Here is an 18,611-nt window from a genome sequence, read left to right as displayed (position 1 = left end):
TCATCACCAGGCCTGCCTTACAAGAGCTCCTGAAGGAAGCACTAAACATGGAAAGAAACAACTGGTACCAGCCCCTGCAAAAACATGCCAAATTGTAAAGACCATCGATGCTATGAAGAAACTGCATCAATTAATGGGCAAAATAACCAGCGAACATCATAATGACAGGATCAAATTCACACATAACAATATTAACCTTAAATGTAAATGGGCTAAATGCCCCAATTAAAAGACACAGACTGGCAAATTGGATAGAGTCAAGATCCGTCAGTGTGCTGTATTCAGGAGACCCATCTCACGTGCAAAGATGCACATGGGCTCAAAATAAAGGAACAGAGGGAGACGTACCAAGAAAATGGAAAGCAAAAAAAGCAGGGGTTGAAATCCTAATCTCTGATAAAACAGACTTTAAACCAACAAAGACCAAAAGAGACAAAGAAGGCCATTACATAATGGTAAAGGGATCAATTCACAAGAAGAGCTAACTATCCTAAATATATATGCACACAATACAGGAGCACCCAGATTCATAAAGCAAGTCCTTAGAGACCTACAAAGAGACTTAGACTCCCACACAATAATAATGGGAGACTTTAACACCCCACTGTCAGTATTAGATCAAAGAGACAGAAGGTTAACAAGGGTATCCAGGACCTGAACTCAGCTCTGCAACAAGAAAACCTAATAGACATCTACAGAACTTTCCAACCCAAATCAACGGAATATACATTCTTCTCAGCACCACATCACACTTATTCTAAAATTGACCACAGAATTGGAAGTGAAGCACTCCTCAGCAAATGTAAAAGAACAGAAATCACAACAAACTGTTTCTCAGACCACAGTGCAATGAAATTGGAGCTCAGGATTAAGAAACTCACTCAAAACCACACAACTATATGGAAACTGAACAACCTGCTCCTGAACAACTTGCTCATAAATAACAAAATGAAGGCAGAAATAAAGATGTTCTTTGAAACCAATGAGAACAAACACACAACATACCAGAATCTCTGGGACACATTTAAAGCAGTGTGTATGGGGAAATTTATAGCACTAAATGCCCACAAGAGAAAGCAGGAAAGATCTAAAATCAACACCCTAACATCACAATTAAGTGAACTAGAGAAGCAAGAGGAAACAAATTCAAAAGCTAGCAGAAGGCAAGAAATAACTAAGATTAGAGCAGAACTGAAGGAGATAGACACACAAAAAACCCTTCAAAAAATCAATGAACCCAGGAGCTGTTTTTCTGAAAACATCAACAAAATTGATAGACCGCTAGCAAGACTAATAAAGGACAAAAGAGACAAGAATCAAATAGGCGCAGTAAAAAATGATAAAGGGGATATCACCACTGATCACACAGAAATACAAACTACCGTCAGAGAATACTAGAAACACCTCTACCCAAATAAACTGGAAAATATAGAAGAAATTGATAAATTCCTGGACACATACACCCTTCCAAGACTAAACCAGGAAGAAGTTGAATCTCTGAATAGATCAATAACAAGCTCTGAAATTAAGGCAATAATTAATAGCCTACCAACCAAAAAAAGTTGAGGACCAGACGGATTCACAGCCAAATTCTACCAGAGGTACAAAGAGGAGCTGGTACCATTCCTTCTGAAACTATTCCAATCAATAGAAAAAGATGGAATCCTCCTAACTCATTTTATGAAGCCAACATCATGTTGATACCAAAGCCTGGCAGAGACACAAGAAAAGAAGAGAATTTTAGATCAATATCCCTGATGAACATTGATGAGAAAATCCTCAATAAAATACTGGCAAACCAAATCCAACAGCACATCAAAAAGTTTATCCACCAAAATCAAGTCAGCTTCATCCCTGGGATGCAAGGTTGGTTCAACATACACAAATCAATAAACATAATCTATCACATAAACAGAACCAACGACAAAAAGTACATGATTATCTCAATAGATGCAGAAAAGGCCTTCAACAAAATTCAACAGCCCTTCATGCTAAAACCTCTCAATAAACTAGGTATTGATGGAACATATCTCAAAATAATAAGAGCTATTTATGACAAACCCACAGCCCATATCATACTGAATGGGCAAAAAATGGAAGCGTTCCCTTTCAAAATCGGCACAAGACAGGGATGCCCTCTCTCACCACTCCTATTCAACATGGTGTTGGAATTTCTGGCCGGGGCAATCAGGCAGGAGAAAGAAATAAAGGGTATTCAATTAGGAAAAGAAGAAGTCAAATTGTCCCCATTTGCAGATGACATGATTGTATATTTAGAAAACCCCACCATCTCAGCCCAAAATTTCCTTAAGCTGATAAGCAACTTCAGCAAAGTCTAAGGATACAAAATCAATGTGCAAAAATCACAAGCATTCCTATACACCATTAACAGACAAACAGGGAGTCAAATCATGAGTGAACTCCCATTCACAATTGCTTCAAAGAGAATAAAATACCTAGGAATCCAACTTACAAGGGATGTGAAGGACCTCTTCAAGGAGAACTACAAACCACTGCTCAACGAAATAAAAGAGGACACAAACAAATGGAAGAGTATTCCATGCTCATGGATAGGAAGAATCAATATCGTGAAAATGGCCATACTGCCTAAAGTAATTTATAGATTCAATGACATCCCCATCAAGCTACCAATGACTTTCTTCACAGAATTGGAAAAAAACCACTTTAAAGTTCATATGGAACCAAAAAAGATCCTACATTGCCAAGACAATCCTAAGCCAAAAGAACAAAGCTGGAGGCATCACACTACCTGACTTCAAACTATACTACAAGGCTACAGTAACCAAAACAGCATGGTACTTGTACCAAAACAGAGATATAGACCAATGGAACACAACAGAGGCCTCAGAAATAACACCACACATCTACAACCATCGGATCTTTGACAAACCTGACAAAAACAAGAAATGGGGAAAGAATTCTCTATTTAATAAACGGTGCTGGGAAAATTGGCTAGCCATATGTAGAAAGCTGAAACTGGATCCCTTCTTACACATTATTAAAAAATTAATTCAAGATCAATTAAAGATTTAAATGTTAGAACTAAAACCATAAAAACCCTAGAAGAAAACCTAGGCAATACCATTCTGGACATAGGCATGGGCAAAGACTTTATGACTAAAACACCCAAAGGCAATGGCAACAAAAGCCAAAATAGATAAATGGGTTCTAATTAAACTAAAGAGCTTCTGCACAGCAAAAGAAACTACCATCAGAGTGAACAGGCAACCTACAGAATGGGAGAAAATTTTTGCAATCTACCCATCTGACAAAGGGCTAATATCCAGAATCTACAAAGAACTTACACAAATTTACAAGAAAAAAACAAACAACCCCATCAAAAAGTGGGCTAAGGATATGAACAGACACTTCTCAAAAAAGACATTTATGCAGCCAACAGACACATGAAAAAATGCTCATCATCACTGGTCGTCAGAGAAATGCAAATCAAAATCACAGTGAGATACCATCTCACACCAGTTAGAATGGCGATCATTAAAAAGTCAGGAAACCACAGGTGCTGGAGAGGATGTGGAGAAATAGGAATGCTTTTACACTGTTGGTGGGAGTGTAAATTAGTTCAACCATTGTGGAAAGCAGTGTGGCGATTCCTCAAGGATCTAGAACTAGAATTACCATTTGACCCAGCAATCCCATTACTGGGTATATACCCAAAGGATTATAAATCATGCTACTATAAATACACATGCACATGTATCTTTATTGTGGCACTATTCACAATAGCAAAGACTTGGAACCAACCCAAATGTCCATCAATTATAAAATGGATTAAGAAAATGTGGCACATATACACCATGGAATACTATGCAGCCATAAAAAGGATGAGTTCATGTCCTTTGCAGGGACATGGATTAAGCTGGAAACCATCATTCTCAGCAAACCATCTGAAGGACATAAAACCCAACACCGCATGTTCTCACTCATAAGTGGGAATTGAACAATGAGATCACTTGGACACAGGAAGGGAACATCACACACTGGGTCTGTCAGGGGTTGCGAGGCTGAGAGAGGGATAGCATTAGGAGAAATACCCAATGTAAATGATGAATTGGTGGGTGCAGCAACCAATATGGCACATGTATACCTATGTATCAAACCTGCACCTTGTGCACATATATCCTAGAACTTAAATTATAATAACAAATAATAAAAAAAAGGAGAATAAGCAAGCATCTTACAGAATGGGAGAAAATATTTGCAAACTATACATCTGACAAAGGACTGATATCCAGCATCTATAAGAAACTTAAACAAATTTACAAGAATAAAGCCAACAACCCCATTAAAAAGTGGGCAAAGAACATCAACAGACATATCTCCAAAGAAGGCATACATGTAGCCAAGAAGCATGAATAAAAAACCAGTATCACCAATCATTAGAGAAGTGCAAATCAAAACCACAATAAGATACCATCTCACACCAGTCAGAATGGCTATCATTAAAAAGTCTAAACATAACAGATGCTGGCGAGGTTACAGAGAAAAGGGAACACTTATACACTGTTGGTTGCAGTGGAAATTAGTTGAACCATTGTGGAAAGCAACGTGACGATTCCTCCAAGACCTAAAAAGCAGAACTAGCATTTGACCCAGTGATATGGTTTGGCTATGTCCTCACCCAAACTTTATTTTGAATTGTAACTCCCACAATTCCCATGTGTTGTGGGATTAACCTGGCAGAGATGATTGAATCATGGAGATGGGTCTTTCCTGTGCTCCTCTCATGTTGGTGAATGCGTCTCACAAGATCTGATGATTTTAAACATGGGAGTTTCTCCATACAAGCTCTCTGTTTGCCTGCTGCCATCCATGTAAGACATGACTTGCTCCTCCTTGCTTTCTACCATGATTGTGAGGCCTCCCTAGCCATGTGGAACTGTAAGTTCATTAAACCTCTTTTTCTTCCCAGTCTCAGGTATGTCTTTATCAGCAGTGTGAAAACAGACTAATACAGTAAATTGGTACCAGTAGAGTAGGGCATGACTGAAAAGATACCCGAAAATGTGGAAGCAGCTTTGGAACTGGGTAACAGACAGAGGTTGGAATAATTTGGAGGGCTCAGAAGAAGACAGGAAAACGTGAGAAAGTTTGGAACTTTCTAGAGACTTGTTGAATGGCATTGACCAAAATGCTGATAATGATACAGACCATGAAATCCAGGCTAAGGTGGTCTCAGATGGAGATGAGGAACTTGTTGGGAACTGGAGCAAAGGTTACTCTTGTTATGTTTTAGCAAAGATACTGATGGCATTTTGCCCCTGCCCTAAGGATCTGTGGAACATTGAACTTGAGAGAGATGATTTGGGATATCTGGTGGAAGAAATTTCTAAGCAGCAAAGCATTCAAGAGATGACTTGGATGCTGTTAAAGGCATTCAGTTTTAAAAGGGAAACAGAGCATAAAAGTTCAGAAAATTTGTAGCCTGACAATGTGATAGAAAAGAAAAATTTCTGAAGAAAATTTCTGAAGAATTCTGAGGGGAAATTTCTGAGGAAAAATTCAAGCTGGCTGCAGAAATTTGCATAGGTAATGAGGAGCCAAATGTTAATCCCCAAGACAATGCGGAAAATGTCTCCAGGACATGCCAGAGGTCTTCACAGCAGCCCCTCCAATCACAGGCCTGGAGGTCTAGGAGGAAAAAGTGGTTTCATGGGCTGGGCCCAGGTCCCCATGCTGGGTGCAATCTAGGGCCTTGGTGCCCCACATCCCAGCTGCTCCAATTATGACTAAAAAAGGCCAAGGTACAGCTTGGGCTGTGGCTTCAGAAGGTGAAAGCGCCAAACCTTGGAGGCTTCCATGTGGTGTTTAGCCTGCAGGTGTACAGAAGACAAGAATTGAGTTTGAGAACCTCCGCCTAGATTTCAGAGGATGTATGGAAACACCTGGATGTCTAGGCAGAATTTTGATGCAGGAGCAGAGCTCTCATGGAGAACTTCTGCTGGGGCAGTGTAAAAGGAAAATGTGAGGTCACTTTCCTTTTCCCCCACACAGAGTCCCGACTGGGGCAACACCCAGTGGAGCTGTGACAAGAAGGCCACCATCCTCCAGACCCCAGAATGGTAGATCCACCGACAGTTTGCACCATGTGCCTGGAAAAGCCACAGACACTCAACACCAACCTGTGAAAGCAGCCAGGAGGGAGGCTATACCCTGCAAAGCCACAGGTGCAGTGCTGCCCAAGACCATGGGAACCTACCTCTTGCATCAGTGTAACCCAGATGTGAGACATGGAGTCAAGGGAGATCATTTTGGAGCTTTAAGATTTGACTCCCCCGCTGGATTTTGAACTTGCATGGGGCCTGTAGCCCTTTTGTTTTGGCCAATTTCTCCCATTCGAAATGGCTGTATTTACACAATGCCTATACCCCCATTGTATCTAGGAAGTAACTAACTTACTTTTGATTTTACAGGCTCATAGGCAGAAGGGACTTGCCTTGTCTCGGATGAGACTATACTGTGGACATTTGAGTTAATGCTGAAATGAGTTAAGACTTTGGGGGACTGTTGGGAAGGCATAATTGGTTTGGAAATATGAGGACATGAGATTTGGGAGGAGGCAGGGGTGGAATGATATGGTTTGGCAGTGTCCCTACCCAAATCTCATCTTGACTTGTAAGTCCCACAGTTCCCACATGTCACTGGAGGAACCCAGTGGGAGATGACTGAATTCTGGGGGCAGGCCTTTCCTGGGCTGTTCTTGTGATAGTTAATGAGTCTCATGAGATCTGATGGTTTTAAAAACTGGAGTTTCCCTGCACAAGCTCACTCTGCCTGACACCATCCATGTAAGATGTGAATTCCTCCTTCTTGCCTTCTGCCATGATTGTGAGGCCTCCCCAGCTATGTGGAAGTGTAAGTCCATTAAATCTCCTTTTCTTCCCAGTCTTGGGTATGTCTTTATCAGCAGCACGAAAATGGACTAATACACCCAGCAACTCATTACTGGGTATATACCCAAAGGAATATAAATTATTCTCACGTGCACACATATGTTCATTGTAGCATTATTCACAATAACAAAGACACAGAGTTAACCTAAATGCCCATCAACAGTAGACTGAATAAAGACAATATGGTACATATACACCATAGAATACTATGCAAGCCATAAAAATGAGACCCTGTCCTTTGCAGGAACATGGATGGAGCTGAAGGCCATCATCTTCAGGAAACTAACAGAGGAACAGAAAACTAAATACCACATGTTCTCACCTATAGGTGGGAGCTAAACATTGAGAACATATGGACACAAAGAGAAGAACAATAGACACTGGGGCATACTTGAGGGTGGAGGGTGGGAGGAAGGAGAGGATTGGAAAAAAATAACCATTGGGTACCAGGCTTAGTACCTGGGTGACAAAAATCTGTACACCAAACCCCCATGACATGAATTTACCTGTATAACAAACTTGCTCATGTACCCCTGAGCCTAATATAAAAGTTAAAAAAAATCCAGACTGAATATATGAATTTTTTCTGAAAAAATACGCAATGACCAGTCCAGTATGAATTACATATTTCCAACCTTTCCATTCCAAAGAATAATAGTGCAACTAGTATGGAAAAAGTATAATTTTGCTTTAAATCACTAAGTTTCATTATTCTCTTGACTGTTTATAGCCTTATTTTATGTGTTCACGAGTTAAACAATTTGACTAGGTTTAAGAGTCAAATACATGAGTGAAATATATGCTGAACTGTGGTCTGCTCTTATATGTGAAAATCATTTATTTCTCCCTCAGCCTCATTGCCTTCTAGATATTTTCTTTTATTTTCTACTCTTTTCTACAATGCATCCTTCTCTTTTCAATATGCTGCATCCTACTATTTCTTTCATTAAATTTAACTCACTTTAGTTTTGTAAATAGACAAAAAAATACTCACAAAAAATTCCATCTTTTTATCTTTTCTCTGTGTTAATGCCTTGTCTAATTCCATCACATCTGGCTAAGGTGTTAGGAGGTTGTTTATTAGCCTTTGCCATTTCTTTTTTATTATAAACCTCAGATGGATAGTTATTTTTTTTAGTGACTTTTGCATGGCGCAGTTTTTCTAAATGTGGTATTTAATTAATACTATTTCAATCTTACTCCACATTTCTAGTCTAAATAAATGTTCAAGTTACAACCACAGCTTATAATTCAGCACTGAGAAAGCTAGGAAACTATAAAAGCTAGAAAACTTTGTGTGCATGTAAGGGGCTGGTACACATATATAAGATAATGATATGAATATATCTGTTGCTCATTTAAAATTTTGGCACTGCCTACTTTACCTATATGTCCTATATATCTGTATAAAATCATATTGAGCCTGCGTGTAATATTTACCATTGATACTGCGAAAGTCCTGAATTAAATTTTCTCCAGAGACATAAAATTTGAGTTTATTGTTTCAAGTTAATGAGTATGCCTTTAACTCAGGCAAAGACAAGAGCTGAAACCAGATTATGTGGCCTTAAACCACACAACAATTTCCCTTTTGCTGTTTTAGTTTTGTTTGTATAAAATAATCAAAACATACTGTATGAATTATAAGCTTCTAAAATGTTTTATCCTCACTGAGCAGTTTAGATGATGTATGGCAGTACAGAACTTACAAAGTGGTTGACTTAATTTATTGTAAGCATTAGAAATCAAAATTAGCATTAAAAATCAACACCTTGTGACTTTCCCCCTATGAACTGGGCTTACATAAAACAATAGAACGCGCTATAGGACCCATCAGTTTTTGATGAACTTTTGGCTGTATAACTGCAGAAAGTAAAAGGTCCGGAAGCAAACTTGGATCACTTCTAGCTAGCACTGAAAGTCATTAAAACAGAGATCTACAGACTTTTGTTGACAAACATTTTGATTACTATTTTATTTTACGGAATAATTCTTAGTTTCCATCCTTGTGTTTCCATCCGGTGTCTATTGTTCTTGGCCTCCAGGAAAATCTTATCAGTCACCATTTGTTCAGTTACTCAACACTAAGCATAGATTTTAATGTCCTTTTTTAAGTCTTATGCTGAGATAAGAATGTATTCGGTCGTTTCTGATTCAAACTTAATATATAACAAACTTGTATATTGTGTGAGCATTTACATATGCTTTGTGTATATATAATTTATTTAACATGAAAGTTAGCACAGGATAGTGGAAGCTTGCTCAAAAAGTTTTTCTTGTGAAACTTTAGCTTGTTCAGGAGGGTACTACTTCAAAAGCAAAATAAACAAAAAACTGACTTTTTTTGCTACAGTTTTAAAATACATCAAATTCTCTATAGTAAATGGATTATATTTCTTGTTAGTTAATGATAAACCACAATTCTATAACATGACATTAAATAATAGTTATATAACATCAGTGGCATATAATTTTCTACAAATGAAATTAATGCATTTATAAACATGTTTTAATATTCCTTTTTATACATTATTTTTTCTTCAGAAGAAAGAAAAAGGACCAACTTTTCTAAAGTAAATACCCCCCTCAAAAAAAGGGATTTGGTAGCTATAAAGTTGATGATATATAATATGGGCTGAAAGTATCTTTACTTAATCCCGATTAGTTTTGAGGAAAAGTTGCTACTGGATATTTTTGAGGTGACAAATCTGTAATTATTTTAGTAATAATGTATTCACTTTATGAAATCCATGACCATTTCTTTTTTCCTCTTAGAGCAATTTAGTGAACTGTAATTTACTGCAATTTGTGTGGATAAAGGTTGTGGATTATATTCTGCTATTAATATTTGTGAATACAAATTTATATCAATGAATTCAGAGGTGGCATATGACCAAATTCAATGACTCATGCCTAAGAAAACAATAGTTAATTGCAATTTAGAAATAGGCAGTATATTTTCAGCTATTCAAAAACACAAAACAGCCTTCCAGTAGTGATCTGAGGTTTGTACTACATGAAGACATCTTGCCAAAATGTCTATGAAACTTCTTTGAGGCTTAATGTTCATTAGGATATATATGTAGAACAATTTACTGTTATAAGGGCTGATTAGGACAGTACAAAACCAAAGCAGTCGACTTGCCCCCAGTCCTCCCACCCCAATTCAGACTATATTTGCTAACAGATTGGGGGATAAACGTTCACTATGGTAGATACATTCATATAATATCAATTGTGCACCTGATTACCATATAGAGCTATATGGGAATAAGAGACATCTGGTTTTGATATGTGTTTTGAAGAATGCAGAAAGATCATCTCAGTCCCCTAATTAACTCCTGTATCAGCTACCTACATCACCTAACATTCCTATCATAAATATTTATCCTATGGGTTAAGACATCTCCAGATACAAGACTCTCTTAAAGAGTTTTTGACTGACATGTCAATGAACTAATGTATTTTTCTAGTACTTTATAAGATGCAAAATTCTTTACGAAAATTCTATAGGCCATTGTTATTTTATTAGCAATGAGGAACTGAGGTTCAGAGAAGTTATATAACCTGCCCAGGTCATATAGTTAGTGGGAAATGGAAGCATCTGACTCCAATTCTAATGCTTTTATTATTATATTACAGCAAGGATATAAGAGACTACTGCATCATTAGTTAATACACAGGGTAGTTTGGCAGATTAGTTGGCATATTCTTGAAGAAGAGGGTCAGAGTTGGGACGGTATTGGAAAGGTGCTTTAGGTCACAGTGAAAAAGGCAGCAGTCCAGGACACTGGGAACCTGGGGTTGGGCGGGGTATGAGAAGTGGGGTAAAGGTGGGAGATAGGGCTGATCCAAAGGAATCAAGATGACAAAGACAGAGGTAGAAATCCTATGACCAACCTCCCTCTTTAAGATTGCTCTTGGCTATAAGAACAGGAAGTCTTTCTCCTCTTGCCACAGTTCCTGAGAGCCACAGCCTAAGAGACTCCATGATATCTTCTAACCACCCTTCTTCTATGTTGGGAAATAGAGTTTATTGAAAAAGGGAAGTTAGATTTTTGCCCTTTTCAGAAATTCTTTATGGGGATTATTTAGGCAAGAAAATACATATGACAATTCACAAGTACTCCATGAATGGCCTCAATGATATATAGAAGACACTCTGCAAACCAGATATTTCTACAGTTGCAATTTTTCATCATAGTAATTAACAAATACTCTTTTAGTATTTGAGGATCTGAAGCCAAATTGCCTTGGTTAGACTCTGTTTCTTACCAACTATATGATCCTGAACAATTTACTCATCCTTTTTGTGCTTCGGTATTCTCATCTGTTAAATAGTCATCTGTTAAATAGTCATAATAATAGTTATCTACCTCATGGATTGTTTTAAGAATTACATAATTAAATACACATAAAGATTTTAGAAAAAGGCCTCATTCAGGCTAAGGTTTTTATGAATTTTAGCTCTTATTACAATTTTTAGAAATGTATAATTAGAACATGCCACAAAAAGTGGAATACAATGGAAAGGAATATGAAAAAGATTTTGAAGTTCTAATTTACAGTGGCTCTTATTTTCTTAGTAAGAACATTGGACTTTTGTGGCTAATAATTAATAGAAGTTTGATAAGACTGCTTTCCTAGACTGGGACAAATGATCTAATTTAATAAAGTTTAGTCCATAAATATGTTTCCTAACAAAGTATCAGTTCTTTTTTTCACCTTTTTTTTTGTTCTTGAAGAAATCTTTTGCTTTAAAACATAGAGAATCCCAAGAGAAATATTTATATACAAGCAACTGGAAAGAATAGGAAACATGAGATGTAGGAAATAAAATATGAAGATACTGGGAAGGAGTTGTAAGAGCAGAGTTAGGAAAGGGAGGCTTTGGCCTAGAGAGAAGGTTCTGGAAAACTCAGACATAAGGAGAAAAATTACTATATTCTTTGGTTTGTTCCAATCAAGTAGTTTATTTCTCATCAATATTATGTGGAAGTGTCAGAAGCTATTCAGGATCAGCTAAAGGGAACACTAAACTTGTATGGTACTTACTTACCTGAATTCTTATTCCATGTTTTCCTTCATAGTTGTTTCTGTTTCTTAAACATTACATGCTGTCTCTTACCTTTTGAATGGTGGGACTTGCACATGCTATACCAACCTTGCAAAAAAGTCCCAAACAAAATGATCCTTTGCCAGGTTAACTTCTAATCTCTCAAGTCTCTATTTAAATGCCTCTTCCTTGGGATACTTGACTCCTTAATGAAATTAAGTTCCTTGTTAGATGCTCTCATAGAGCTTCAGAACCTCCCTTATAGCTTAACTTCTTCTCCAGATTATGAACCCCATGACAGTACAGTACTTATCTCTGGGGTGGTAGAAAATGTACTCCATGCTGATTTGTATGGTAGTTTACAAATGTAAAAATTCATTGAACTGTAAATCTAAGATAAGCGCACTTTTATTTTATGCATGTCATGACTCAATAAATAAGAAAAAACAGTCAGGCACTCATCTGGATATTTAATCTGCACAATACCAAAACTGAAGTTTAAGTTGAACGAACACTTTGAATTAAAAAAGTTTCTCTTTACTGAGGCAAAATCTGTATTTCTATAATTTTCATCTGTTGTCCATATATCTATTTGAGCCAACATTAAATAATTCTATTTCTCTATTAACATGATCCTTTTTAAAATATTTGATGAGAGATTTCATGTTCCAGGTTAATTTCATCCATTCCTCTGATAATAGTTTAAATTTTTTAAACATTTTAATCTTCCTCTTACAGATGTTATTTAGTATATTAATGTGCCTTGAAACATGGTGCCTAGATCTGAACGTAGCATTCCAGTATTATCTGACCAATGCAGAGTACAGCTTGCCATCACTTCCCTTAAATTGGATATTTTGCTACTATTGAACAGTCTAAAACACTTTCATTAATTCTGTTTATTATTATCTCTTCTCATGTTAAGGCTCCTTTTCAACTCCATCTAAAAATTGCCATTAAACTAGATCCCTTCCTTCTGTATTTGTATAATTCATTTTTTAAACCTAATTCAGGCCATTATATGCTGTTGGCTTCAGGGCAATAATAGATTCAAACTTATTCCACCGCAAATTACGTCCTTTCCTTATTTCATAGGTTTGTTGTAAAGATTACATATGATAATGTCTATAAAATTGTGCTTTGTAAAGTGCATAGTATATGCAAAGTTGAAGAAAATAATTGTCAAAATTGTGAGAGAACATAACTGAAGAATATAACTGTCAAGATAATTTTGTGAAAATAATATTTTATCCTTCCATGCTGTTTAAGAATATTAAATATAAAAAGCATAAGAACAGAGTTTTATAGCATAACTCCCTTTCAAGTTGACATCCATCAACACTTTTTTGTTTAGTCATTATTAATTAATAGAAACATGGCCCAATACCCTATTAAAAATAAACAAATATTAAGGAACATATAGAAATAAGATAGAATTTGAGTAGTTTGTATTTTTTGCTGCCATTTCTTAATATATAATTAACTCCTTAAGCAGTAATCCTACATGGTCTTAATTACTGTAGCTTTATAGTACATTTTCATCCCTGGATGCATTTTCTTCTCTGGGAGATCTTGGCTGTTCTTGGTCTTGTGAATTTTCAAGTACTATTGACTATGCTGTGGAAGTCCTGCATATGGACACACACATACACATACATACACTCACAGCATCTGTTTAAGATTTTGTCTGGGATTGCTTTAAGTCTATAGATCCATCAGGAGAAAATTGACATCTTTAAAATAATGATTTTTTTTCCAACCTATGCACACAATGTATCTTTCCATTTATTGTCTTTCAGTAAAGTTTATAATTTTTCTATAAGGGTCTTGCACATCTTGCTATGTATGCCATTTTTTTTACTGTCTTAAATGACATATTTTTGAAACATGTCATTTTCTAACTTTGTTGCTAGTATATAGAGACCTAATTGGTTTTGTTTATAGATTTTTATATCCACAAACCTTAAAGACTCTAACAATTTTTAATATTGTTTTGATTATAGACATACACAATTATACTATCTGTGAATAATGATTTTTTTCTTCTTTTCCGATTCCTTTAACATTCATCTTTCTACTTTCTGTTTCCTCCTACCCCAACACATCTCTGTCCCATTACCCATCCCCACTAGCACTATCCTGAATCTTGTCTTTCATCACTTCTTTAATGTTTTAAAATGTTTTTTCATATATATGTATTCCTTTAAAATAACATTTTGATTGCTTTTAACTTTATCAAAAAGATACCACTAATCTGAGCATTATAACCATCATTGTATTACTACATATAGCTGCATAAAGAAAATATAGCTAAATACCATTTTGATCTTGGGGTAGAGAATGATCTGCTAACAAGACTCTATAAAATTAATATCTCTATCAAAGAAACTTTAAATAAAGTACAAAATACATGTTATAGAAAGCAGAGACTCAGATATTTATATACGAATGTTCAGAGCAGCATTATTAGCAATAGCCAAAAGCTGGAAATAACCCAAATATCCATCGACAGATAAATGGATAAATAAAATGTAACATATGCATATAATGGAACATTATTGTGCAAGTGGATGAACCTTGAAAACATTATGCTAAGTGAAATAAACCAGAGACAAAAGGGCAAATATTATGTTTTTCCACTCATATGAGTTACCTAGAATAGTCAAAATTATAAAGACAGAAAGGAGAGCAATGGTTACCAGGGGCTAGGAAGAAGGGTAATGGGAAGGTATTGTTTAGTGGGTATAAACTTTCACTTTGGAATAATGAAAAAGTTCTGGTGATAGTGGTGATGGTTACACAACAGGTGAATATACTTAATACCAGTGAATTGAATGCTTAAAAATGGTTAAAATGATAAATTTTATGTAATGTGTATTTTACCAAAATATAAAAAAATTAAAAACAATATATGTTACAAACTGGGAGATAGTATTTATAGCAAATAAAATTTTCAAAGGATTAGAATCAAGACTATAAAAAAGAACTACAAAAAGTGTAAACAACTCAATAGAAAGATAAGAATAACCCATGAACTAGAAAAAATTGTGACTAATCAAGACCTAAAGAGATATTAAACCTCTTCAAGTTGGGAAATACAACTCAAAACCACATTGAGATGCCATTTCACATTTGAATTTTACATTCTTTTGATTGGCAAATATTAGGAAGAATTGGAGTATCTAAATTACTGCTGGAACATAAATTAGTATAACCATTTTAGAAAGTAGTTTGGCATTATCTTGTAATATTGAATATTCACAAACCCTACACTTCAACAATTCTATTCTTAGATATCTGCCTAAGAGAAACTCTCAAACTTTTACTACAGGAGTTATGTATTAATATAATAGTCTATTGCAATATTACAATAACAACAATTTGAAAAAACCCAAATGCTCTCTGAAAGAGAATAAATATATTTTAGTATATTCAAATAACGTACTAGCATATGGCCATCAAAATGAACTACTAATAGAGCCCCCAAATTCAGATGAACGTTTCTTCTTGCAATATATATTTATTAACTCATTAATTTTCAGTAATTTAATTTAATATATGCATTTAAGGCTGTAAATTTCCTTCCACATGTAATTTTAGCTGTAGTTCACCCATGTTGGTATCCAGTTCTTTTGTTTCTGCTCAATTCAAACTATTTTCAAATGTTAATAGATATCTTTTTACTAATGCATTATTTAGAAGTATAGATCTTAATTTGTTTTAGACTATATCTTGTTTTACACACTTTATTCATAGAGTTATATTTTTTATTTAAATCATCAATTTTCTTCATTCTAACTTAGGACAAAATTTTTTTAAACATGATCTGTATTTCATTGTATTAGCTTTGCACACTCTAAAAATTCTATTTTGAATCTATATATACTTCTCTGTTCCTTTATTTTCATATTTTTAAAGAATTTTCTCATTTGTTTTAGGCATGTTGTTTGCAAAAGAGAATGTGCCTCATATTGAGTCAGTGTATTTAATTTATATCTATTGTGATTACTGAAGTTTTCTACTTATCTTTTTAGTATCACCATTTTTTTAATGTTCTCTACTTATAGCCCTTTTTCTTTTTCTTTTTTTTTTCCTGCTTTCTGTTTTATTAGTAGCATTTCTTTTGATTACCACTTTTTTCTTTTCTAGTTTGATGGTTACATATTCTATTTCTTTTCTATAATTGGTTAACATTTTAACAGTTTTAATGTCATATTTTTCCTAAGTGATTAATTTTACCAGTTTCTCTTACCATCTCCTCAACAAGACAAGGACTAGTCTTATTTGGTCACCAGTGCTTTTTCAATCCTACTTCTTTTTTTTAGGTTTCCATTTTTCCTTTGTGAAGTGTATGTTTTGGTAATTTTCAGTGAGAGTTTGTAGGTATTAAACACTCTTTGTCTTTATATCTTATTAATATCTAGTCAATATTTTGCCCTCACTCTTATATGATAGTTTAGGTATAGAATTCTAGGCTGATGGTTATTTTTCCTAATTAGTTTGGAGATAGTACTTTACTGTCTTCCTGCACCTACTGTTGCTCATGAAACATTTTCAGTTAATCTTGTAATTTTCTTTTTAGAAAAATTGTCTTTTCTCTCTGGTAGCTTGTAAGAAACCAGAGATTTCATAATGCATTCATGTGTGTGTATATGTGTATGTGTTTACTTATGTGTTTTTACTTTCCTACTGCTAGATTTTTGGAAGTATAATTGACATAAAAGAAAACTACTTATTTCACTAAAACTGGAAAAAAGAAAACAATCAATATTTCAATTGTATGACTTGGGAAGTTCTGACATGTTTGTCCAACTGTGAAAAATTACCACAATCAAGAAAATCACATCCAAAAGTTTTCTCCTGTCACTTGGTAACTTTCCCTTCTATCTCTTCATGTATCCTCTTCCAGAAAACGATGGGTCTAATTTCTGCCATTATATATTAGTCTGCATTTCTGAGTTTTATGTAAATGGAATCATATAACATGTACTCTTTGTTTTGGAGAGGAAGATGTTTTGTGTTCTTTCATTAAGCATCATTATGTTGTTGTATGTATTAGTAGTTTGTCTCTTTCATTACTAAGTAGTTTCTCATTGCAGCAATGTTCCACAATTTGCTTATTAATTCACGTATCAAGCATTTGTATTGTTTCTAGTTTTGCCAACTACAAATAAAGCTGCTAGTAACATTCATGTACAAGCTTTTATATGGACATATGCTTTCATTTTGGGGGCATAGATACCTAGAAGTGGAATGACTGGACCACATGGTAGTTGTATTTAACTCTATAGTACTCACAGACTGTCAAAGTCATTGTACAATTTTACGTTCCCATCAGTAGCATTTGAGAGTACCAGTTGTTCCACATTCTTATCAACACTTAGCATAATCAGACTTTTTTATTTTATCCATTCAAATGGCCAGGTAGTGGTATCACATTGTGATTTTGATTTGCAATTCCCTAATAACTAATGATGTTGACTTTTTTTAATGTGCTTATTTGTAATCCATGTATCTTGTCTGATGAAGTATCTTTCAAATCTTTGTCCATTAAAAAAATTAGATTGTGTTAGTTTCTTACAATTAAATTTTGAAAAAATTCTTTATATATTCTGAATACAAGTTCTTAATCAAGTATGTGACTTGCAAATATTTTCTGTCTTTTTTTTCTTTCTTTTTTTTAAATTTTATTATTATTATACTTTAAGTTTTAGGGTACATGTGCACAACGTGCAGTTTTGTTACATATGTATACATGTGCCCTGTAGGTGTGCTGCACCCGTTAACTTGTTATTTAGCATTAGGTATATCTCCTAATGCTATCCCTCCCCCCTCCCCCCACCCCACAACAGTTCATGGTGTGTGATGTTCCCCTTCCTGTGTCCATGTGTTCTCATTGTTCAATTCCCACCTATGAGTGAGAACATGCGGTGTTTGGTTTTTTGTCCTTGCGATAGTTTGCTAAGAATGATGGTTTCCAGCTTCATCCATGTCCCTACAAAGGACATGAACTCATCATTTTTTATGGCTGCAAAGTATTCCATGGTGTATATGTGCCACATTTTCTTAATCCAGTCTATTGTTGTTGGACATTTAGGTTGGTTCCAAGTCTTTGCTATTGTGAATAGTGCCGCTATAAACATATGTGTGCATGAGTCTTTATAGCAGCATGATTTATAATCCTTTGGGTATATACCCAGTAATGGGATGGCTGGGTCAAATGGTATTTCTAGTTCTAGATCCCTGAGGAATCACCACACTGACTTCCACAATGGTTGAACTAGTTTACAGTCCCACCAACAGTGTAAAAGTGTTCCTATTTCTCCACATCCTCTCCAGCACCTGTTGTTTCCTGACTTTTTAATGATCACCATTCTAACTGGTTTGAGATGGTATCTCATTGTGGTTTTGATTTGCATTTCTCTGATGGCTGGTGATGATGAACATTTTTTCATGTGTTTTTTAACTGCATAAATGTCTTCTTTTGAGAAGTGTCTGTTCATATCCTTCGCCCACTTTTTGATGGGGTTGTTTGCTTTTTTCTTGTAAATTTGTTTGAGTTCATTGTAGATTCTGGATATTAGCCCTTTGTCAGATGAGTAGGTTGCGAAAATTTTCTCCCA

This window comes from Homo sapiens, chromosome 1 (genome assembly GCF_000001405.40).
Source record: "Homo sapiens chromosome 1, GRCh38.p14 Primary Assembly".
Lineage (NCBI taxonomy): Eukaryota > Metazoa > Chordata > Mammalia > Primates > Hominidae > Homo > Homo sapiens.
The sequence above is the reverse complement of the archived record's forward strand: the minus strand, read 5'-3'. Positions refer to the sequence as shown.